Source organism: Homo sapiens, chromosome 1, assembly GCF_000001405.40.
Source record: "Homo sapiens chromosome 1, GRCh38.p14 Primary Assembly".
In the NCBI taxonomy this organism is placed as follows: Eukaryota; Metazoa; Chordata; class Mammalia; order Primates; family Hominidae; genus Homo; species Homo sapiens.
This window is the reverse complement of record NC_000001.11, coordinates 224,624,065-224,649,320: the sequence shown is the minus strand read 5'-3', so window position 1 is coordinate 224,649,320 and position 25,256 is coordinate 224,624,065. Positions and strand designations below refer to the sequence as shown.

Below are 25,256 nucleotides of genomic sequence, written 5' to 3'. Positions count from 1 at the left end.
TTTCCAGCTCTCGGAGACCACCGGCATTTCCTGACCTCTGCTTCTGATGTCACATCTCTTCCTCTGTCTCTCCTGCCTCCCTCTGCCACCTATAAAGACCTCTGTGATTACAATGGCTATACCCAGATAATTCAGGATAATCTCCCCATCTCGAGACCCTTGACTTAATCACCTTATATGGCAGAAGGGACTTTCCAGATGTAACAGTCTCAGGTTCCAAGGATTAGGACATGAACATCTTTGGGGGTCCCTCAGTCTGCCCAGTGCAACTGGTGAGCCCCATAAATAAGGAAGGAGCCACCACTGATGGGCTGGCTGAAGAAGCCAGGGATTCAGAAAGGAAGAAATTCTGGGAACAAAGGGTGGTAGATTCTTCACAACTCAGGATAAATCATACCTTCTGGGTCTTCCATTTCCCTCTCTGCTAAGGGGGATTTTGTAGTGGTAGTTGGAGCTCATGCTTGTAGCAGGGCTGAGAACCTCCTTTTGCTCTTGTCCTACCAGGAAGGAATAGTTACTAATCTGACTGCAGACTAGATCTTGCTTACTGATGGGCAGGGTCACTGTGCACCAAGATATTCATAAGGCCTTACAGGTTGTTCCTTATGTCTACACCATCTTCAGAAACATCATGGGGGGAAGTAATTGGGCCAAGGCAAAATCGGTATTCCAATATCCTTCTCTAACCTCGCCTCAATATGCAAACTCCCCAAGCCCAAACAGTGTGCTTTGCTCCTAAATGACTCTGAAGAATGAAGAATGCCTATTACAGTACCTGGCACGAAACAGACATTTAATGTATGAGTAAATGAGCAGAAAATATTCTCCCTTTGTGCTCTTTTCTTTGGTAAACTCATCCCTTCCCACAGGTCTCATTACCATTTTCTTTTCTTTTTTTTTTTTTTTTCCTGAGACAGAGTCTGGCTCTGTCACCCAGGCTGGAGTGCAGTGGCATGACCTCAGCTCACTGCAACCTCTGCCTCCTGGGTTTGAGCGATTCTCCTGCCTCAGCGTCCCTAGTAGCTGGGATTACAGGTACCCGCCACCACACCCAGCTAATTTTTGTATTTTAATAGAGACAGGGTTTCACCATGTTGGCCAGGCTGGTCTCAAACTCCTGACCTCAGGTGATCCACCCGCCTCGGGGTCTTGGTAAGAATCCCAAAGTGTTGGGATTACAGGCGTGAGCCACTGCGCCCAGCCGCCCACTACCATTTCTAGCCTGCTTCACTCCCTCCTGGACATGGCTGGTTCTTCACTCTCTCCCCAGCTCCAGATCCAGTTTCCATCCCAGGTTCCTCCAGAACCTCAACATGCCCGAAACAGAATTCATCAGTATATGTCTCCAAAAATTCCTGCCCGTTCCCGTAACCAGTACCCTAAGATAGAACAGTTCCAAAGCCTGGCTGAGTTTTAACTCTGTTCTTACCGACCTGCCACTATCTGTCCAGCCACCTGGCCCACTCAGCCCCTGTGCCTGCAGGCTCCTTACACCAGGGCCCCTGTGCCTGCAGGTTCCTTATGCTGATCTGGGAACCACAGCTGCTGTCCTTCCCTTCCCTCTGCCCTGCTGGCTCCCAGCCCACCTTCTCTTCCCCCTGTGCCACCCAGCCACACATCCTTGGCTCTGTCCCAGCCTCTGTCCTCTCTAGAAGTGGGGTTAACACACATTCTCCCAAGTTTCCAGGCTTCACTTTCTCCACAGGGCCCTAACCCAGTTCACTGCTTTGGTTCTCATCATGAACATCTGGTCTCAGGTAATAATTTCCCGCCACAGCCTTGGCCACACAGAACCCAGTCCCTGGCAGTGAGTGATGTCCCAGCTTCTGCCCATCCCCAGTCTCCACCCCGACACCCAGGCCCAGGCAGGGGGGTGGTCAGACACTCCTGTTCCACCTCCATGGACAAGCAAGCCAGACTACTTCAGGGTTTTCCACAAGACACCCTCACTATTTGGTCTGAAGAATAAACTTTTTATCGGAGGAATTCAAGCCCCCTTTAATTATCAAGCCCAGAGAGGCACTGAAATGTGACTGTAGGACGGGCACAGTGCCTCACGCCTATAATTACGGCACTTTGGGATGCCGAAGCAAGCGGATCACTTGAGGCCAGGAGTTCAAGACCAGCCTGGCCAACATGGTAAAACCCTGTCTCTACTAAAAATACAGACGTGAGCTGGGTGTGGCGGCGGGTGCCTGTAACCCCACTCAGGAGGCTGAAGCAGGAGAATCGCTTGGACCCAGGAGGTGGAGGTTGCAGCGAGCCGAGACTGCACCACTGCGCCCTGGCTTGCATGACAGAGCAAGACTCTGTCTCAAAAAAATAAAAATAAAAAAGTGACGGGGCCATGTGTGTGACAGCAGTCATGTCTCATTCCTCTCTTGAGCTAAATCATTTCCTCTTGAGGCCACATGCTATATGGGCTCTAGGCTAACTGACACCAGATTGTCATAAAATGTCACACACTGGACACCAGCACTCATACTCTATAGTTCACCAGTGTAGGGCCAATCACTAACAAATATTATTTCTGTCAACCGGTGAGAACTCCTGTCAAACAACTTTGTATTGGCTCAGCCTTGTCCCCTTTTGCCTTTAAAAACCTGCTTGTAATAGACTGGACATGGTGGCTCATGCCTGTAATCCCAGTAATTTAGGATGCCGAAGCAGGAGGGTTGCTTGAGTCCAGGAATTGGAGACCAGCTTGGGTAACAGAGCAAGACCCTGTCTCTACAAAAAATACAAAAATTAGCTGGGCGTGGAGGCACACCTCTGTAGTCCCAGCTACTCGGGAGGTTAAGGTAGGAGGATTGCTAAAGCCCAGGAGGTCAAGGCTGCAGTGAGCCACGACTGTGCCACTGCACTCCAGCCTGGAAGACAGAGTGAGACACCGTCTCAAAACAAAAACAAAAACAAACAAACAACATGCTTGTAACAAAGGCCAAAGGGAGCACTCCCCAAGGCAACTTGGAATTGTGTCCCGGGCAGCTGTCCTCAACCTTGGCTCAGATAAACTGTCTGTATTAACGTTGCCTCAGTTCTTTCTTTAGGTTGGCAGAACTAATCCCTCTGTCTTTCTCTTCATCTGTCAAAATGCTGTTAGGCCCATATAAGTGCCACCTCTCTGTGATGTCTCCAATCAAACGTGACCTTGAATTGAACCTCCACTGAAAACCTCTGCTGTCTTACGTTAGAGTTACTATCTTAGACCGTGAGATCGAGGACTGGGCCTTTATCTAACTCTTTATAACACATATAATTATGTGCTTGCTGTGACTGATCAATGGGTGCTCAATAAATATGAATATAATTAAATACAACTGGATTCCCTAAAGGGCTACCCAGCACAATGCCCAAAATAGCCTGCATACTGCCAAGGGGAAGAGATGATCTGATCTATAAATTAAACATGGGCCATGCTTCTCCACTGCATCTCCCCACTGCTTCCTGCCCTTTGGCCATTTGGTCCTTATTAATTCCCTTGGAGCGAGATGGCCAGAGAAAGAAAATGTACTGCAACATAAATTCCTCCATGTTATGGGGTGGGGAATGGCAGTAGGGAGTGGTGGAAATGACTGGAGCTTGGATGTGCTTTTCTTTAGGTTTCTAGGCTCCAACAGATGTGAATATCCGCTGGCCACAATGAGTGCTGCACCTGCTGCCATAGCACAGCCTTCCGGGCTGAGCCTGCTCCACATGTTACCCTGAATTGGAACAGGGCCTAAACCTCACCACCCACCATATTTTGGAAATAAGCACATCAGGAGCACAGAGGGAGTGTCACCACGTGATGGGGAGCTGCGTGGCCCTGCCTTCAGAGGGCTGGAAACGCTCGGCACCGCTGGCTCAGCATCTTCCACAGCACGCTCTGTAACACGCGTGCAATCCAGTACAACGCTGAACAGAGGCGCAGGAGAAAGGAGGCCAAGCCAGGTCTCTCTCGCGCTTCTCTGGGGATTGCCCTTCAAGAGGTGAGTGTACCGCCTCTTGGGGGCTGAGTCTCCTCTGCAGCACCAAGTAATGGCCAGACACCAAACAGGGCAAGACCCAAGAAAGTAACATAGGAGAGAGGGGGCAGAGCAGGGCAGTGGGGAGGTGGTGGGAGGAGAGAGAGAGAACTGATCAAACACGGTAGGGAGAGGCATAAGGTAAGCATACAGTTTTTCCTTGGTAGAGACCTGACTCCCTCTTGTGTATTTCTGCATCTGTAAAACTGAAATAAAAGATGCCCAGCACTCAAAGAGAAGGCCAGCAGAGATTCACACTGTTCGCCACTCCCAGTGGTGAGGCAGCCTCTATTGCCTTCCATAACCATCCTCACCCAGGGTGTGAAATGCTTCCACAGTCCTTAGTTGGCCACACAGAGATCTCAGCCACTACCTGCATGGGGTCTGTTAGCAGTACAGAAGCCACTGTCCTTCTCCAGTGCCCCCAGCTCAGTGGAGGTGCATGCACTTGGCTGCTTACGCTTAAGCAAGTTTCCAGCACTGGCATTTGCCTGAGCCTCTCTGGGTATCTCAGAAGACCTTTGAACTTGGAGGCGTCTTCAGCACCACCAGTGTGCAAAACCTCAGCCCTCTAGTGGCAACGGTTGAGCATTACAGCTTGGTGGAAGAAAAAAATTGTTTGGCATACAGCAGTCAGGTATCTGTGGGATAAAGGACAGTCATCTGCTTGCGGCAGCCAGGAGAAATTTAAGAATGGATGAAAACAAAGCTAAAGGTATAAGGGTCATAGGGATGCTTTTTTGCTCCCTTGATTTGTAGAATTTGTTTAATTCAACAAATACATCCTGCTGCATGCCAGGCATAATATTAGAGCCAGACATCGCCTCAGACATCACCTGGTCCAACCCCACACTCCCCGATATCCTGTAGTCTAGCTCCATAGCTGCCACCTTGGATGGGGAATCATCCACTAGAGATCTACAAAAAATACAAAAATTAGCTGGGCGTGGAGGCACACCCCTGTAGTCCCAGCTACTCGGAAGGTTAAGGTAGGAGGATTGCTAAAGCCCAGGAGGTCAAGGCTGCAGTGAGCCATGACTGTGCCACTGCACTCCAGCCTGGAAGACAGAGTGAGACACTGTCTCAAAACAAAAACAAAAACAAACAACATGCTTGTAACAAAGGCCGAAGGGAGCACTCCCCAAGGCATTCAACACATTCAGTCACCAAGCATGCGTTGAATGTGCAGGCCCTGCTGAGGTGCTGGAGCAAGGGCTATGGACAAGCCCCACTCGGTCCCTGACTTCATGAAGCTTTCAGTCTAAGAGGTCCCCAAGGTCACTTGGCCTCTACTACAATTCTAATACCCCACTAGATCCACCAGGGTTGCTGCCAACCCCCAACTTCCAGTCTCAGAAACGCCAGGATGGCCTCAACTGGTCTGAGCCACAGCAGTGAGACAGCCAGGTAGGAAGGGGTCCCCAGAGAAACTCCAGCCAACCTGCGAACTGGGAGGAATGCACCATGGGGTGGAGCCTCAGAAGTTCCTGTCATTTGCAGCAGGAAGGAGTCCGGCCCCTCCTCTTCCTGGGTAGAACCTGGGATTTCATCCATGAGGCGGGAAGCCTATACTAGAAGGACTCTCGTTCTGCTGAGTCCCTGTTCCCCACTTTTTTTCCTTTTTGCCCAATAAATCCCATTATTCTCACCCTTCAAACTGTCTCTGAGTGTAATTTTCTGTGGCTGTGTGACGAGGATCCCATCTTTAGCTGAACTAAGGAAAAGTCCCACAACAGAAGGGAGGCTGCCCGGCCTCCATGAAGGCAGGCTCTCTCCTCACACACCAGACCCACCACGTCAGGCCTTGCCTTCATGACCCACTCACTGTCCCACCAGGGTCTCTCCAGACAAGCCGACTGGGCTGCGGGGCCAAAGCAGGCCAGTGTGGTTACACTAACACCTCGCTGCATTTTCCCTAGTTTCCTTAAATCTAGATGAGCCTCATGTAGATGTGACTGGAACCGATGTCCAAAAGATGCTGCAAATAAAATGCACTGTAGACACAGAAACCACCGTACTGGAGTGTAATTTCTCATTCTACATTTGTTTTCTCTAGTCGACTACCACCTCCTTCAGAGCAGGCCTCGTTTTATTTCTCCCCCTATTCCCAGGGCCCAGGATCCTCGGCAGGTATTTGATAGTTGTGAAATAAGCAGGTGCATTTGAGGACAGGAATACAAAGTGAATACCAAAGTGCATACACTCCAAACACACGCCTCGACCATCAACAAGGCCACAGAAGGGCCGCAGATGTGTCCACACTGCCAGATCTTAGCTGGTTGACACAGGCAGAAATGGAGGACCCTTTAGGAATCTCGGAGGAGAACCACACCTTGGCCTGCATGTTCAGATACAATGCACTCTCCTTTAGAGCTCTCTCCGGAGAGTTTACAGCTCAGAGCACCAACAGTTCACAGTGTCCCAACTGTTCCCCCTGCCTAGCTCTCTCGCATCTTACTTCATAAGACCATGCTTTCGATGCAGAGATGCAAGACCCAGATATGTGTGGGTTTTCTTTCATAACAGCCTCTCTGATATATGTGCAGTTCTAAGACAATGAGAAATCAGAAACGCAAAGCATTCTCTTAAATAAAATAAAATAAAATCTCTACCTACAGAGCACAGAGAGCTTGAGTCACCCAGAATATACAGCAGAAAGGTAGAGGAGCACAGTGGTAAGGAGCCATGCTCTGGGGTGAGACTGCCTGGAATCAGTCCGGGCTCAGCCATTTACTCCCTGTGCCTCCGCTTCCTAATCTGAAAAACAGACACCATCATAGCTACAGCCAGGTACAGCGGCTCACACCGACAATCCCAGCACTTTGAGAGGCCAAGGCAGGTGGATTGTTAGAGGCCAGGAGTTCGAGAACAGCCTGGGTAACATAGGGAGATTCCTGTCTTTACGAAAAATAAAAAATTAGCTAGATATGGTGGCATATGCCTGTAGTCCCAGCTTTCAGGAGGCTGAGGCAGAAGAATCACTTGAGCCCAGGGCTTTGAGGCTGCAGTGAGCCATAATCGCACCACTGTACTCCAGCCTGGGAGACAGAGCAAGACCCTACCCTCAAGGAAAAAAAACAGTATCTGCATAATAGAACACTGGGAAAATTAAATGAGTTGTTACAGTAAGAACAGTGCCTGATACAGCAAATATTCAATCAATATCAGCTGTTACTATGGTGGTACCCATCCTTCACATCCTTGAACAAAATAGCAAATAAGTAAAATACCATGTAACAAATCTTGTTATGTCCAAACGGAGCATAACCAGCCCTCCCAAACCAGAATCCTAAGGGCAGGAATTACAGTCTGAATTTTGGAGATGTTTTCTGGTGATTCACATGCACATGCTGAAGTGTGCAAACTTCTGTTCAAGGAATACCCTGAATGCATGAGGAACAAACCAATGGTTTTCACTAGTTTTACAAATACAACTTGAGTTTCCAAGGTGGGGGCCTGGGAGCACCAGGAAAATTTTTGACATGGTTGCAAGCCATTATCCCGATCCTAGATCCTATGACACAGATGCTAAGGAATCAGAACATGACAAAGAAAAAAGGAAGTGTGTTGTGGGTAGAGGCCGCATCCTCTGAGAGTTGGCCGATCTTCCTTTGAGAAGTGCACCAGTGCCCAAAATAGAACCTGGAGTCCAGCTAGAGCTGCCTAGGCAGAGGCCACACCTGCAGCATTTGTGCTCTTAGCAACGTCGTCCACTCAGACACCAGGATGTTGATTTGTCCCAGGGCTGGAAGTTCCTGGCTCTCTTCAGGGTCTGGGCTGGGCTGGTGACTGGAATGGGAAGCAATAGCTGGAAGGTACAAACCAGACCCCGATTCTCCAGAAGAAGAGTTCTCTGGAGATGACCCCAGGGCGTTGCACCTGGGTGCCTGGGATGAAGAGGGCATCCGTGAATAAAAGTGGGGAATCCAAAGAGTCCAGGTGGGGAAGGATGGAGGGGAGGGTTCCCAGCCCAGTCATACATGTCAAGCTTAGGCACTGTTCCCCGGGAATTGACTGGTGGGCAAGGAGGAGCATTCCCTCAGAAGGGAAACTTCTCTTCCCCTCCCCGGCAGGTGGGGCTAAACCTCTTGCTGTACAGCAGGTGCTGCAGCTCAGGGCAGCAGCAGGGTAGTGCCGATGTATGCCGAGGAGGCTTAGCCCAGGCATCTCCCCTGGGTCCCTCTGCTACCATGCCGAAGACTCCAATCACAGCGTCTTCACATCCCAATTATACTGAAAATGAACCTCAGAGCCCCTGAGGAATTGCACTTGCCTGATCACAGAAGCAAATATAGCACATGCAAAGTAAAAGAATACGGTATAATCTTTGCTGAATGTCAACTCTTTCCCAGAAACACATCACCTCCACACTTGCTCACAATCAAGTGCTCCTTCCTCCCTCACCTTTAGATCTGCTGCTTAGAACACAACAAGCAGCTGGCTTGCAGCCTGCCCCGAACAGCCCCTGCCCCTTAACGACCACTCAGCCATGTCTCAGGGGTGACACACACAAGGGGAATCTTGGCAGATGGTGGCAGAGATCCCTTGTTATCTCCCAAACATCTTATCTCTGGGTTTGGCTCTGCCATGACACCCCACCAGTTCACAACACAGCAGCCAGAGAGCCGGTGAAGGGCTTTTCACTTCACTTGCTCCTCCAGCCCCTGCCTGCACAGACACTGGGCACAGAAACTAATGAGCAGAGAATAGCTAGAAGAGAAAGCGGTGATGCTGAGGAGTAAATAAATTATTCAGATCGCAGAAAAGGAGAGACACAAAAGGGTCTGAGAGTCTGCTAAGCTCTGAATCACCTAAGATCGCATGTGCCTTCTCCAAACTTGACACCAACCTCCTCTGCAAAGAAAGGGCTTTTCTAAGCATCTTGCTTCAAATTGCCTCTCAGGGCAACTGTTGTTGAAGGGCTGGGAGCAGTGAGGAATGAAGAGGGAGTCACAGCGTCTCTACAGCACAAGAGCTGAAAGGGGCTGTTCTGTTACCTGCCCAGCCACCCAGATGAGAAAAGTGCCGCTCAGAGAGGTGGCGGAGGCTGGTGAAAGAGCATACACTCACTGTCACAGAGCAGAGAGTGTCCTGTCATGTTTGCACACACACACACATGAATAGCGAGAGGAAATGGAAAGGTGTTACTGAACTGGAATCCACTTGCCCAGCACAGTAAAACCTCACATCCACACGGAGGTTTTGCAGTGGGAGAAAGAAGGGCATTTATTTGCAAGGCACCAAGCAAGGAAAACTGGGCAGCTCACGCTCAAGACCTGGCCTTATCTACAGTTTACAGGCAAGAGTTTTTAAAGGCAGGGGTACATGTCAGGAAAACAGAAGTTACAGGCAAAATCATAACTCAATACATGGAGGTGATACATCGTTACGGCCTCAAAAGGTGGGATATCTTGGAGTCTTATGGGTCATCAGTGGATTTAAAGATTCTCTGATCTGCAATCGGGTTAAGGAAGCCAGGCTTTCTCTATAATCTTGGGGTCAGCAGAAAGGGTATAATATTGGCGGTCAGCAGAAAGGAATGTTAAGCTCTGGCCTGTGGCATGATTTCCCTCCAGGCCCTCAGGAAGAAATTTAGAACAAAGAATGACAGACAGAGTTCAGTCCTCAGTTCCCCCTTATCTGAGGTCTACCTGCCAGTGATGGCATTTTCCATTTTCCATCTGGTAGGGGTCCAGGTTTCTGAAAAACAACTCAGGGACATATGTTAAGATGTTATCTTTAGTTTCTACAGGGAACCAAACATGTTCTGGCTCTAATTTCCTTGGCTATTGTTTTAAGCTATTATCACCTTCTTGCTTATCACGCTGTTCCTTTACTTTTCAAGGCTAGCTAGGTACTTGGAATTTTCCTTGAAGGAACTCAAGACTTTCCATTATTTTCAAGCTTGAGAAGGTGGGGCCCGCAGGCCCCTAAGAGGGCTCACAAGACAGACACCAGGTCTTTCTCCTTTTCAGCCAATCTCCTTCAAGGCCTGAAGTACGAGGGGGACATGAGGACCCCATCCAGGTCTGAATCACATCATCATCAGGTAATGGGGCTTCTTGTACTTGAAAATCCACTTGAAGAGAATGCTAGGCAGTGTCTGCCAATTTCCTATGGAAGAGAGAGCTCAAAGGTCAATAGTATGTACTGAGCCTCCCATGACCCTGGGGTCCTTGCTGGGAGGGGAGAAGGCTACTTGGGAATTTACCTTCCTATTGGGGAAAGAGAATTTGCAGACCAAACAACCATAAGAATACATTTCCTGAGCAAAACAGAAAGGCTCACTTTCCACAGCAAGAGATACATATCACCTTAAGGATGTACAGGAGACTCCAGTCAAAAGGGAAACTGGCAGGTAAGAAGCAAATCATGAGAAACTTCCTGGAGGAGGAAGGAAATTGGAAATATGGACTGGTAAAAAGTAGAACTGCAAATAAAATAAATAATGGCATGTTACAGGTACAGAGGTGACACCAAGTATAAAGTATTGACAAGGTGATGAACTTCATTTAATGTGAGGTCCTAGAGCAGGATCATGAGAAGATAAGACGGAGTATCATGGAATGTTGGAGAGATCCCGTGGCCAGTGCTTCCTGAAGCTTCCTAATGCTACCTGCATGTTCTAATCACTTGGGAGCTAAAAATTCAGAGTCCTGAACCCACGTAAGCCTTCCTGAGAGATAACATCTAGGGATGTGCCAGCTATGGGAACCACTAACCCTGCCACCCCTCCTTTTACAGAGCAGGAAACTGGGGCCCAGAATGTTACGGCACCGCTGGTAAAGTCAGGAAAGGCAAGCCAGAGGAGAGTTCTAGAGCCCAAATTCAGAAGCTCAGGTCTGACATGGCATGGGGAAGAATGAACTACAAGAGAATCCACCTGTCAGGATGCAAATCCTGGTGGGAGGGACTCGGGGGTATCCACAGAGCCTTCCGGAGGCCCCTGAAAAAGGCTGATGCTGGAGGCAGGCGCTGGGCCAAAACCCTGTCAACATCCTTGTCCCTTGGGAATCTCCCCATGGTGTTCAACTCTTCACCTGAATCCTCTGCTGACACTGCCCGGCCTCCCCCTGGGTGCGCAGGCTGTAAAGCCATCCAAGGGCCGGGTCAGCCACTAAGGAATCTGGAGCGGAAGGTGCAGGCTAGCCCTACCCAGTCTCTAGGATGTTGGCACCTGCTCACATGCACAGCCGCAAGGCGTTCTTCCATCTCGCTGCATGAGCCTTTTCTTTCTTTTATTGTTAGGGCAGGAAATATTTCAGTTACACTCAAAAGCAGGCTTTCTATATTGGAGACATTATAAACAGGAAATGCCCATTTGCTTCATTTTACTTTTCTTATTCATCAATTTTAAAAGCATTGAAGCCACAGCAAATCTGTCTTCCACAAGGCAAGGGTGGCAGGTGCCACTGGCAGAGAGGGAGTGCCAGACAGGGGGACTGGGGGTGTGGGGTGCAGACAGATGATGTTGACTGGCCAAGGGATCACTGAGAGGATAGAAAGGGCCTCAAGAGGCCACCCAAGAAGACAGCACCACAGAGCTCTGCCTCCGCCCAGCTGAGCGGCTGGTGACATTCATAACATGCTAACTATGTGAGCAACAAGACCGCAACTGGCCACTTGGTAATAAGCCAGCCATTACCTTGTTCATGATCCGTTCCTGTGAGACTGTACTGAGCCAGACAACACTATGACAAAGGGAGAAAGGGTGTGGTTTTGTTGGTGGTTAACAAAGATCTTCTGAAGGCAAGTCAAGGGGCCAGTACTAAACAGCTCCTGAAAATACACGATCTTCATCTTGCTATGTTGAGGCAGGAGAGGGTGACCCCGCCAACTCAGAACATCAGGAGGCTGAAGCAACTGTTTTGCCCCTTGTTTGGCAGTAAGAGAATGCAACCCAGAGACAGGAGAACTAACTTGGGGGGTGGGGAGGGTGGGTTGGAGACTGGCATCCAGGTGCAGCACATTGCCTGTCTCACAACTCTGAATTAGGGCTGCATGTGTGTGCGGGGACCTCGCAGATGGAAATATCTGCTCACAAGTAAAGAAAGCATCTCTCGCTGGGCGTGGTGGTTCACGCCTGTAATCCCAGCACTTTGGGAGGCTGAGGTGGGTGGATCAGGAGGTCAGGAGTTCGAGACCAGCCTGGCCAACATAGTGAAACCCCGTCTCTACTAAAAATACAAAAAAAATTAGCCAGGCGTGGTAGCACATGCCTGTAATCCCAGCTAGTCGGGAGGCTGAGGCAGGAGAATCGCTTGAACCCGGGAGGCGGAGGTTGCAGTGAGCCAAGATCACGCCACTGCACTCCAGCCCAGGTGACCATGCGAGACTCCATCTCAAAAAAAAAAAAAAAAAGAATGCATCTCTCAAAGACAGATAGATGATAGACAGATAATAGATTAGATACTGTAGATAGATAGATGATAGATAAATAAAAATCTTAAAGCAACCTTCTAATTCACATCTTCCTCAGGGCTAAGCAATATCTTAAATATGGAGATTGGCTGAATATTATATGTGTACCGCTTTTTTTAATTCAATCAACGTCTTTCTCCTTCAGCCCATCCAGAAAACAACCAATGCCACAAAATCCAATTAGGAGTTGTGGAGGAAGTAGGAATACTAAGTACACACAGCTGTAAAGATCAAGTAACTACACCAAACTTTACTTGACTCCTTTAACAACTTTGCCACATCAAACTTTATTTGGCTCCTTAAAGGAACTCATTTTAACAGAGGTGCTGGCACACAGCATAGCTCAAAAAGATCAAGTTTTTGTTCTTTATTGATGTTGCTATAAAGCACACTAGCTTGTCTGATGTAAGCTCCTGGGACTGGACACTGGTCTGGTAATTAGGAAGCAGAATTCCCCTCCGGGCTTCGTCCTGAATAGGCTGTGATCTCGACCAAGTCACTTTACCTCTCTAGGTTAAAGTATCCTCATTTCCAAATGAGACGACAGAACCAGGTGATCTTAGGTCCCTTCAGGTGTCAGGATTCCAGGACTATGTGATTACATGACTGTATCCCTCTTTCATCAATGTAGTCAAATTAAAAGAAAACAAATATGCAAATGGTAAACCGAACTCACCCAACCCAACCCCATTACCAGAAGGATGGTGCCATCAGCTAAGACCTGGTGCACCAACACAGAGCAACCAACACTTCTAACAACGGGGTGCCACAGCTGCTCCTGGTTAAGCCCTTGACCCCAGACGTTTTACTGTCTTGGGTTTTGGCTTGCTGTATTGTTGATTTTTGTTTTCTTAAACGAAACATTCCACTTGGTATTTTGATATAAAAAAGAGGGTTCACGCAGTAATCCCAGTGCTTTGGGAGGCCAAGGCAGGAGGATCACTTGAAGCCAGGAGTTCAAGATCAACGTGGGCAACGGAGTGAGACCCCCCCATTTCTAGAAAGAAAAAAAAATGAGCCAGGTGTGGTGGCACACACCTGTAATCCCAGCTACTCAGAAAGCTGAGGCAGGAGGAATGCTTGAGCCCAGTTGAGCCCAGGAGTTCAAGGTGAGAGTGAGCTATGATTACACCACTGCTCTCTAGCCCAGGCAACAAAGTGAGACCCTGTCTCTAACGAAGGAAGGGAGGAAAAAGTGAAGAAATATATGGACTAAGCTAAGAAGTAGGTCTCAGAAACAACCAAACTTTTGCATGCTGTGGGCTGACTGCTCATGTCCAAGGCCGAGGCCGGCTCGGCTGTGCTGTGAGGTCTGAGTCAGCATCCCTGTCCTAGCACAGCCCCCGGCACTTTATTTTCCTCCCTGTTGCTCAGCAGGACTCACTTCTTGAAAATGCTTGCTGTTCCTACAGTCATTTCTCTGTTGATTTTAATAATCTTGCCACACCAAACTTTATTTGGCTTCTTTAAGAAACTCATTTTAACAGAGGTGCCAGCACACAGCATAGCTTTGAGCCATAATATCACCTCTCCCCTTGGTAGGGTTTGGCTGTGTGTCCCCACCCAAATCTCATCTCGAATAGTAATCCCCAAGTGTCGTGGGAGGGGCCTGGTGGGAGGTGATTGGATCATGGGTGCAGATTCCCCCATGCTGTTCTCATGATAGTGAGTGAGATCTCACAAGATCTGATGGTTTAAAAGTGTTTAGGGCAGTTCCCCCCGACCCCCGCCATTCTCTGTCCTACCACCATGTAAGATGTCCCTTGCTTCCCCTTACCTTCTGCCATGATTATAAGTTTCCTGAGGCCTCTCCAGCCATGCAGAACTGTGAGTCAATTAAACCTGTTCTTTATAAATTACCCAGTCTCAGGTAGTTCTTTATAGCAGTGTGAAAATGAACTAACACACCCCTTGTGAGACAACGGATGCTGCCTCCCATTTATGGAGCAAAACAACTTATACTCTGAACAGTGCTGAAAACTGCCAACTTTGCTAATTATGAGCTAGCAGCTCCTGGCGGGGATGCAGCGGGGCATATTAAGTGGTGCAGGTAGGGCCGAGGCTTGGTGTGAATCGGGGACGTGAAATTGAACACCTCTGCTCAACACAGAACAGATGCAGGGTAACTGGGCAGGGGGGCATTTCTTAGGAAGAGGAGTGAGTTGCGAGGCAAGGGCTTATGCTCCATGGGGGACAGTAAGAAGAAAAGGAAAGGAAGAGCTAGGTTTCACTTTACCATTTATCCTCTAGAATTTGGGCCTGCACTGACTGGGAGACACCAAGCTAGCAAAAAACCTTTTTTTTTTTATTTTTTTTTTTGGAGACAGAGTCTCAATCTGTTGCCCAGGCTGGAGTGCCGTGGCACAATCTCGGCTCACTGCAACCTCCATCCACCTCCCAGTTTCAAGCAATTCTCCTGCCTCAGCCTCCTGAGTAGCTGGGACTACAGGCGCGTGCCACCATGCCCAGCTAATTTTTGTACTTTTAGTAGAGACGGGGTTTCACTATGTTGGCCAGGCTCATCTCGAACACCTGACCTCATGATCCACCCACCTCAGCCTCCCAAAGTGCGTGAGCCACCACGCCCGGCCTCTTTTTTCTTATTCTTAATTCACACAACTGCTGTTCCTTCCAAGTGAGCACATGCTCTGCTAAAGTCCTGCAAAGCCCTCATCCAAGTGGATGCTGTGAAAGCTGCAGGCTCAGAAGGACGAACACGTGCCACGGAAGCATGCTGCACTGCCTCCACGGCCAGGGGACGTTTTCATGAGAAGTGGAGATTTTCCTAAGGGGCGGTGGGTAGTCATCCCCTTGCAGGGAAGCATGTTCAGGGCCACAAGTCCAGCAAATCCATCCTCCCCACCAGACCACAGCTGCTCCTCATCAAGCTGAGAAGGAAGAGAAATAAGATGTTTTTCTGCAGCTCACATGGATAACACATCAAAGAGTCTGTGGCACCAAGAAGTTAATCTTGACTTTAGAGAAAATCTTGCTTTCCCTGAATACAGGCGAGGTGACAAGCTAAAAAATTAAACCAAAGAGCCGAAGCAGTGATTATCTGGCATTTTTTGGTCACCCACATTTATGCCACACTTCCACACCAGTCTGATTTCCTCTGGAGAATTCTCCCACTGAGTGCAGTCCTGGTGGGGGGATAATCTAGAGGCCCACCCTTCCACTGGAGAGATTAAAAGGATGCCTGGAGACCCTGCCATACTTCTAGTTCCCACTGTGTACAGCCAACGGGCAGCACTCACCCAAGCTCAGCCTTAGACATTCAGAGTGATTCAAGGACAGAGATCGAAATCTGGCTATTCTATTGTTTGAAGCCTTGTTTTCTGGACTTTCCATCCATTTTATGAGTACTCCAATTCCCTTCCCATAAATTCCTTTTTTGGTTACGATGACCAGAACTGATTTCTAAGAATCTTAACTGCCAGGCCTGGTGGCTCATGCCTGTAAGCCCAGCACTTTGGGAGGCCGAGACAGGCGGATCACTTGAGCCCAGGAATTCAAGATCAGCCTGGGCAACGTGGCAAAACCCCATCTCTACAAAAAATACAAAACTTTGCTGGGCGTGGTGGTGGGTGCCTGTGGTCCCAGCTACTTGGCGGGCTGAGACGGGAGAATCGCTTGAACCTGGGAGGCAGAAGTTGCAGTGAACAGAGATCGCGCCACTGCATTCCAGCCTGGTGGACAGAGCAAGAACGTGTCTCAAAAAAAAGAAAAAAAAATCTTAACTGATACATTCCTTACTGAGAAACCTGACACCTCATACCCAGGAAGCCTATCAAGAGACAAACCACGACAGGAGAAAGACAAAAGAATAAGGGGCAGGGAGCAAGCAATAGAGGACCACAGCATTTGGGGACTGGTAGGATCTTAGATGTCACTTTGTTGAGCTCCTTCATTTCACACACAAGGAAACAAAAGGTCCAGGGGGATGCAGGGAGGTTTGCTAAGGAGTGCCCCTCAGCAGCACCACCAGCCCCATTCGCTGCCAGCCCCTTTCTAGGGCATGACTTTTGGTACTAAAACTGCCAACCAATAAGAGGAAAGGATGTCAAAACTGAACACATTTTCCTCCAGTCAGCACATATGCTTGGCTGGCCTCGGCTCAATTCTCTTATCACTCTCCGGAACCTGTAAGAAAAATTATTCCAGGATAAGTCATGATCTCGTAATGACCAAGTGGCTTGAAATCCCACAGCATCTGGGCCAGTTCCCAGCTCCAGATGATTTCACATGATCTGGGAGCCCACCTCTCCTCACCACCCCACCCCGCTCTCACATATTGCGTCCCAGTGGCTCTTCCAAATCCCTTCCCAGACCTGCCCCCTACCCAATCCTCTTGTGACATGACCACTGCAATTAGAACCCCATTGGACAAGGACTTTCAAGCTACACCCAAAGGCATGCTGATGACATAAGACAATAACAATGAGATTCTGCTAGATATGGGATTCACTGTAGCAGAATGTGGCCTGTACCAATTCCCAATGACCACAGAGAAAGGAAGCAGGATAACCTAGGTATCTGTTCAGTGTAGAATTTAGAAGCTATTGACACAATGTGTTCTCTTCCACCCTGGTCTGCCTATACCTGCTCTAAAGGCTTCCAGTTTGCAGTAGCCATAGGGAGACATAGAGGCCCGGATATGTAGCTCCTCATCCACATCCACATGCACATGTGTTCAAACAGAACCTCTCTCCCTGCGCCCCATTCGAGAGTGGGTTATCTCAGACTTATGGACAACGCAGGGCAGTGCCCTCGCAATGTGTCTCCCCTTATTTCCTGGCCCTGGACCTCCCAAGTCCTATCTCCTACTCTTTGCATGCCGGGGATCTACTTAATCATTTGGCTATTTCCATAGCCACAACTCTGGAATGCAGTTACTAATTCCTTTTTCTTAAAAACGTTCACAGAACACAGTTAAATTTTTTTTAATCCAAGATACAAATGTCTCTATTATATAGGGGACCATCTGGGCTGCTACAGCTAGCTGGCTATGTTGCTATCAACTCTTTTTTTAGAGTTCATGAATCAGTTGCCAATAAGAAAAAAAAGAAGTAGTTAGTGCCAAGACTCTGCTTTCCTCCCCTGCATTTTTCCCCAGCAGGAGAGATACATCCCGGAGTCAAAATGGACCATGCGAACACAAAACCAGAAAATATACCTAAGACTGATGCTCTGGAAATGTCAGCCCACGGTTTGAGACGCTGTGGAGGTGGGAGGTGGTGTCAGCTTACTTCCCAGCCCTAGGGCCCACCAGCTAAGCTAAGTAATATTGTGTAGCCTCCACAGATCTAAGATGTATGCACAAGAAAAGGAATAAAAGGAGGGCAAAAGAGAAAGAGGGAGAAAGAAGGGAAGATGAACAAGAGGGAAAAAGAAATGAGAGAAAAGAAAGAATGAATACCCAAGGGCTGGGAAATCCCTAATGCCAGGGACTCACCAACAACCACAGACTTCTGAACCAGCCAGGTTGCCCAGAGAAGCCACTGATTAGTGGTGGGAGCTGAGTTCAAATTGGAAACCAAAACCTTGAAAGAATATGAATGGGAAAGCTGATGAATGGAGAGGAACGCTAGGTGGATTCACGGTGGCATGGCCTGCCATTCCTCCCTTGCTAGGATGAAAGGGATCCAGTGAAAAGGGAATCAGTGGGTCATTCTGTCATCCCCATGTCCTGAGCATGCACCTTTGGTTTTGTTGTTGTTGTTGTTGTTTGAGGTGGAGTCTCACTCTGTCGCCCAGGATAGAGTGCAGTGACACAATCTCAGCTCACCGCAACCAACCTCCACCTCCTGGGTTCAAGTGATTCTCCTGCCTCAGCCTCCCGAGTAGCTGGGATGACAGGCACGCACCACCACGCCCGGCTAATTTTTCTATTTTTAGTAGAGATGGGGCTTCACCATGTTGGCCAGGCTGGTCTCAATCTCTTGACCTCATGATCCGCCTGCCCCAGCCTCCCGAAGCGCTGGGATTCGGTTTTTACAGACACTGCAAAGGATCAGAAATTACAGCTCCATTCTGGCCAGACAGCATACCCCAAGGGCAGAAACCACCCACCTCACTCACCTGAAGGCAGTTTCAGGTGTTAATTACACTCACAAGCACCCACAAAAACAGAGTTGGGAGCCCTTGGCCAGAAGCCTCTGGATGGTGAGAAGCAAATGATGGTTGAATAAATGTGTGATTAATTGTTCCCACTAAGGCATTCAGCCCAAAGAGTGCTAACTGCAAATGGGCCCATAAGCATTCTCCACCTCCCACCCTTACCCCAGGAGGAAGAAGAAAAGCAAATTCTATCCTCCACAAAATATATGGCCAGGTAAGTGTGGGATGTGCATTGCTATGGAATTTTTTGTTGCGGTGGTAATTGTGTACATGTGTGAGAGAGAAACTACCTTTTTACAAATCTGGTTGTTTTTTAAATCACGTTTGTGACTCAAGGCAGCTGAAAAACATTAAAAAATAAATCATCCCCCAAATTGTCTCCCAGTGAGCTAACAACCTACTTCATTTCCATGCCCCCAACAACCCCCAGCTTAGGGGCAAATATGGAAGTGTAAGACTTCAGCTCCTCTGCAGCACAGGTAAGGCCGCCTGGTCCACACTCTCTCCTCCTCAACCACAGATGTGCTAACCCTTTGCACTGATCTGAGAGCAGAAATGCAAATAAGGTTTTAATGAACAATAACAAAATTCTTGGCAAGATGCCCTTTGTGCTTAATGGCAGGTGCATTCCTCAGTTCTCGCAAAGCCAAAAACATTCACAGCCTTAAAATCATGGGAAACACCGCTACTCTCTTCCTGGTGAAATCCTCTGGAAGAAACAACTGTAATCATGAGGCAAACTCCCTGGCAAAGCCCAAGAGTTGTCTTCAATAAAATATCGGTTTAAGGACCATTTATAACTTCTCACAACTAGACCTTAATGCAAAACCTTGAATAAAGATTTTATAACTATTTTGTTCACTTATAAGACGTGAAGTTTCTAAGAAATGTAGTAAAACAGACCAGATACTTAAGCAAATGCATGAAGTGGGTCCTGCTGTTGCTCCAGCCGAGAGAGGACAGCAGAGAGACAGCAACCATCAGGGGCCAGAGGGTCAAGAAAGAGCAGAGTCTGTGCAGCAAAGACTGAGGACCAAGAGTTTCTGCCTGTAATATCACAGGAGCCACAAAAAATTAAACATTAAACACTTGATCCAGCAATTCCACCTCTGAATACATACACAAGAGAACTAGAGGCAGGGACTCAAGCCCTGGATGCTCGTACACCCACATTCACAGCAGCATTATCCACTGTAGCCAAAAGGTGGAAGCAACCCAGTGTTCGTCGACAAAGGGGTGAACAAAATGCAGTCTATCCATACAACGGAACTGTCGACAGAAAGAGTCAAACTCTGTAAAATATTTGAAGAGATTTATTCTGAGCCAAATATGAGTGCCGTGGCCCATGACACAGCCCTCAGGAGATCCTGAGAACATGTGCCCAAGGTGGTCAGGGTGCAACTTCGTTTTACATATTTTAGGGAGACATGAGGTTATCAATCAAATACATTTAAGATATACATTGCAGCCGGGCATGGTGGCACACGCCTGTAATCCCAGCACTTTGGGAGGCTGAGGTGGGCAGATCATGGGTTCAGGAGTTCAAGACCACCCTGGCCAACATGGTGAAACCCTGTCTCTATTAAAAATACAAAAAAATTAGCCAGGCATGGTGGCATGTACCTGTAATCCCAGCTACTCAGGAGGCTGAGGCAGGAGAATTGCTTGAACCCGGGAGGCAGAGGTTGCAGTGAGCCGAGATCACGCCACTGCACTCCAGCCTGGGTGACAGAGCAAGATTCTGTCTCGGGGGGTGAAAAGAAAAAAAACAGATATACATTGCTTCAGTCCAGAAAGGCGGGACAACTCAAAGTGGGGGTGGCAGGTGGTTGGGGGGGAGTTCCAGGTCCTGGGTAGATTTAAATTTTTTCTGATTGACAGGTAGCAGGCTTCAGAGAGAACAGACTGTAAATATTGCTTATCAGACTTAAGGTCTGTGTTGATGTTAAATGCTAGTTGGTGTTTCCTGAATTCCAAAAGGGAGGAGGGCATAATGACACATGTCCCACCTCCCTTCCCCTCATGGCCTAAACCAGCCTTTCAGGTTAACTTTCGAGTGCCCTGGCCAGGGAGGGAGCCCATTCAGATGGTTGGGCGTGGGGGGCCTTTGAGTTTTATTTTTGGTTTACAGACTATTACTCAACCTTAAAAAGGAGAGAAATGCTGACACAGGCTACAATATGATGAACCTTGAAGACATTATGCTGAGTAAAAAAAGCCAATCACAGCAGGACAAATACTGTATGATTCCACTTATATGTGGTGTCTAGAAGTAGATCAGTTTAGAGGGACAAGGTAGAATGGTGGTGGCCAGGGGCTTGGGGAGGAGAGAATGGGGAGCTACTGTTTAATGGGCACAGAGTTTCTGTTTGGGAAGGGGAAAAAGTTCTGGAGATGGATGGTGGTGATGGTTATAAAACAATGTGAATGCACTTAGTGCCATTAAGCTGTACACTTAAAAACGGTTTAAAAAAAGTAAATGTCATATACGTATTTTACAACAAATTTTTTTAAGTTAAGGGAGCCAGACTGAGCCCCAAGTAGAAACTGCAGGGTAGGGTGAGATCCCTTTTGCTCTCAGGTAGCCGGCGAATACAGAGACAGTTGAGCGAAGCGTAGAAGCAGGATAGAACTAGAGAAAATGAATAACTTGACAGGGTGGGCTAAGTCTAGATCTGGGCTAGACTATTAAACAATAGAGTCTGAACAGAAATACCCAGTCTGATTCAAACTCAATTAGTGCCTATACACATTCCAGAGGCAGAGGTAAAAGAGACAGCCCCTGCCCTCCATTTGCTGACCAGCAACAGGGCCTGTATCAATCCTTCGGCTGGAGTAATCTAATCATTCTTTCAAGACAATGGCCTCTGAGACTCAGGTGGTGATGAAAGGTTCTGTTCTCAGAGCCCGTGTCCCAAGCAGGAGTGCCAAGGCCCATCGTGGCAGTGGCAGAAAGCAGGCAGCCCCCTGGAGAGAGAAGCCATTCCCTCTGACAACAGCACCCCGGGCCCCTGAGCCTCATTATCAGACTGACTCGTGGGTCCGAGATGGCAGCGCATTGACTCCCCTTCCAGAGTCACAGAGCAGACTGCAGGAGCGGGCCTCAGTCCCCACGGGTCTGCTAGTGTACACAGGACCCACTGCACACTGCCAGACATACCATCCTAGCCAGACGTGGCTCCTGCAGCCAGCCACCACTGTCCCCAAAGTCACAGGCTCCCTCTTTTCTTCAAAAGAATGAGACCCACAGGCCAGGTGCGGTGGCTCACGCCTGTAATCCCAGCACTTTGGGAGACCGAGGCGGGAGGATCACAAGGTCAGAAGTTCGAGACCAGCCTGAACAACATGGTGAAACCCCGTCTCTACTAAAAATACAAAAATTAGCTGGGTGTGGTGGCACGTGCCTGTAATCCCAGCTATTCAGGAGGCTGAGGCAGGAGAATTGCTTGAACCCGGGGGCAGAGGTTGCAGTGAGCCGAGATCACATCACTGCACTCCAGCCTGGGTGACAGAGCCAGACCTCGTCTCAAAACAACAAAAAAAAGAATGAGACCCACAAGCTTCTGGGTTCATAAGCCAGAATGAGGCTACCAAAGAGGTGACTTTTTTCTGCTTTCATGGTCAGTCTGAGAGCCACCATCAGTCATGCGCTCAACACGTGTCCACCATGTCCTCCTAAGTCCCGTGAACACATATATTGGACACCAAGAGCCCTGTTCTCCATCCACCCCTGCTTCACTTAGAAAGTCCAGGCACAGGCACACAGAAGTGTGTAAGAACACAGGTTTGTACCTGGAGAAGAACAAACAACCCACACAAGTTTGCCAGGTTGTAGGAGCCTGTGGTAGGTTGGAGTGAGCAGAGTTGCTGATGATGAGACCCAGGCTCGTCAGTGACAGCACATGGAAAACTTAGATCCAAGAGGCAAGAAGGCTCTGCTTGTAGAAAGAATAAATAGACATATCTACGGTGCAATAAAGTCTACCTGTGGGGTTGGGGCTGTGAGATGGGGAGTTGTGGGAGACCGGCTGGAGAGGTAGGTCAATGCTATGTTGTAATAGGCTTCCAACCCCAAATTGAGCGGTTTGGACGTTATCCTACAGGCAGTTTATGTCGATCCCATGAGACCTCAAGATTAGTCTTCAATCCCCATGCCCTAGAGCAGGGATCATCTTAACCAAGATTCTCAAGTCTTTTAATGCCCAGGACACTGTGCACACAGAAATGGTGGTGGCCCCATTACAGTCTATCAGCCTAATCTTTAGATATATTTTTTAGTTTTTTGTTTGGGCTTTATTTTAGCATATGCAAGAATGTCCCTGTTTGCTTCTCTTTCTATGCCAAATTAAAAATATTTGCGAGTCTGATCATTATGCCCTGGATTTGTATTCAGAAACCAGTTCAGGATCTAGCTGTGCATTTAGAGTTTTCAGTGACCAGTTTGTGGGAGTTAAGCAGATTCCAAGTGTCATTAAGAAATGCAGGCAACCCTCAGCTAACCCTGTTAAGATGCAGACACTCTGGCTATGAATGATCCCAAACAGCAACCACTTCCAACCCTGCAGATCTGAGTTGGTTACTCATGCAAATGACCTCACTATTTGTAGCAGAGCTCACTTAATGCTTCTTCTCTAGATTAAAACAGTTCAGCTTATTTTTCTAAAGACCCTCCAGGTCCTAGAAGAAGAAGCAACTCAGAAGCAATGTGAATGGCAAGGATTTCAGCCTGGAATTTAATATCTGCCTTATCTAACCCACAAGGGGACTATCTACACCTAGTTGTCAAAGGATGGAAGAAAGGTGTATTTCACAATCTATGATTAAAAAAAAAATGGGTATTACAAGATAGCAGTGGGATCGCTATCTTGAAGCACAAAATCAACATACGTGATGTTGGAGAGACTAGCGTGCAGCCCCCTGCATCAGCCTCGACATCATCCTCTGCTTTTGGGCATAGACATGGGTTGCTGGGCTACAGTCACCATCTGACAGCCCTTTCCTGTCACAGCTCGTCTTCTTTGGTGTCTGTTGTTCACAACCTCTCCCCAGCAGTGCCCTCCTCCACACCTTCAACCACCCTGATCTATCCCATCCACCATCTCCCCTCCACTTAATTCTGGATTGAAGCTCAGTTAGCCTCCCTTACACAGAGAGAGCTACCAAGTCTAGGATTCCATGGGCCTTCAGCAGAGCCCAAAAATGTGCTTTTTTTCTTTTGAGACGGAGTCTCGCTCTGTCGCCCAGGCTGGAGTGCAGTGGCGCCATCTCAGCTCACTGCCAGCTCTGTCTCCTGGGTTCACACCATTCCCCTGCCTCAGCATCCCGAGTAGCTGGGACTATAGGCGCCCACCACCACGCCTGGCTAATTTTTTTTTTATTTTATTTTTAGGAGAGATGGGGTTTCACCATGTTAGCCAGGATGATCTCCATCTCCTGACCTCATGATCCGCCCGCCTAGGCCTCCCAAAGTGCTGGGATTACAGGCGTGAGCCACCACGCCCGGACAAAAATGTGCATTTTTAGTAAGCATCCAGATGATTGTCATAACCAGGTAAGTCTGGGAAAGTATTCATTGAGGAGGAGTCTATCAAGCTTAAGCTGGCTGTAATAAATTATCCAGATCCTTATTTATTGGCAATCACTGAGTTCCCACCATACTGCCCCATGCTGGACACTGAGGCCACAAGTGAGGGCAACAGTTTCTGCCCTCCAGAAGCTTATAGTCCAAGCACAGAGACAAATACAACAGTGGGACTCAGACCTGGGGACAGGTTCAGAGGACAAGTGGACTCAGATCGCCAGGGAGAATGCGGCTTCCTAGAGGACAAAGGCTGCAGCAGAGCCAGTCGGGTGAAGAATGAAGTGGGGAACAGCATTCCAGGGAGACAGAACAGCCCATTTGGGAATTGCAAGAAGGTGAGGATATCTGGAACACAGAAAATGCAAAATGTGGCTAAACAGTTAACCGGGACCTGGTCCTCCCAGCCCTCTAAACTTTGAAAGCGAGAGAAACCAGAAAAAGCTTTAGTCTGGGAATAACATGGAAGGATCCTTTCAGGTATTAGATCACTCTTGGTAGCCATGAGTGGGGTGGTTTAGTCCAGGGGAGATGATAACCAAGGAGGCCAGCTTGGAAGGGACCACGATGCTCTGAGAAACAGCAAATGGGGGCCTGAACCAAGGCAGGGATGGGAAGCATGGAAGGGAGGGGACAGACATGGCTGGTGACTACAGAAGGAGCAGATGGGGTAGAGAGGGTCTCTGGGTGAAGACTAAACCCACTGGGGCTGTGAGGAGTGAGGAGGGCATGAAGACAAGCTCGGCTGGGATCCAACTGTGGGGCATGGGGCAGGTGGCCCCATGGACACACAGGTCAGTGTCGGGGGACAGGTCTGGGAGGCCAGGAAACTACCAACATGGAGAGGAAGGTACAGAAAGAAGAACCCACAGGGGAGATGGAGGAGAAACAGGGCCCCAGAAAAACAACATTTGAAAGCAGTTGCAAAGAAGACACGGACAGCAGTCTCAAAGCCACGGAGAGGCCAAGATAAGCACTAAATGGTGCCCAGAGATTGCCACAGACCACTGATGTCCTCATCAAGTGCTGAGCTGAGAAGGGGCGGGGGCACAAGTCAGGTGGCCAGAAAGGAAACAAGTGTCTTTGGAAAAGAGATAAGATACACAAATAGCAAAATGCTGACACTTGCC

At 48.4% G+C, this 25,256-nt stretch overlaps 1 protein-coding gene across 16 annotated transcripts in view, besides 1 other annotated feature; it reads right to left on the bottom strand.

Moving 5' to 3' along the window:
• The window catches only part of CNIH3 (cornichon family AMPA receptor auxiliary protein 3), a 305,915-nt gene that overhangs the window by 91,234 nt on the left and 189,425 nt on the right, over positions 1-25,256 (bottom strand). The window lies entirely within an intron of this gene.
• Positions 11,296-11,938: an enhancer, noted in NCBI's record as "H3K27ac-H3K4me1 hESC enhancer chr1:224825085-224825727 (GRCh37/hg19 assembly coordinates)". NCBI's record gives its function as "activates a minimal SCP1, AML or CMV promoter by ChIP-STARR-seq in primed H9 embryonic stem cells {active_cell/tissue: H9 hESC(primed)}" and the evidence as "EXISTENCE:reporter gene assay evidence [ECO:0000049][PMID:30033119]".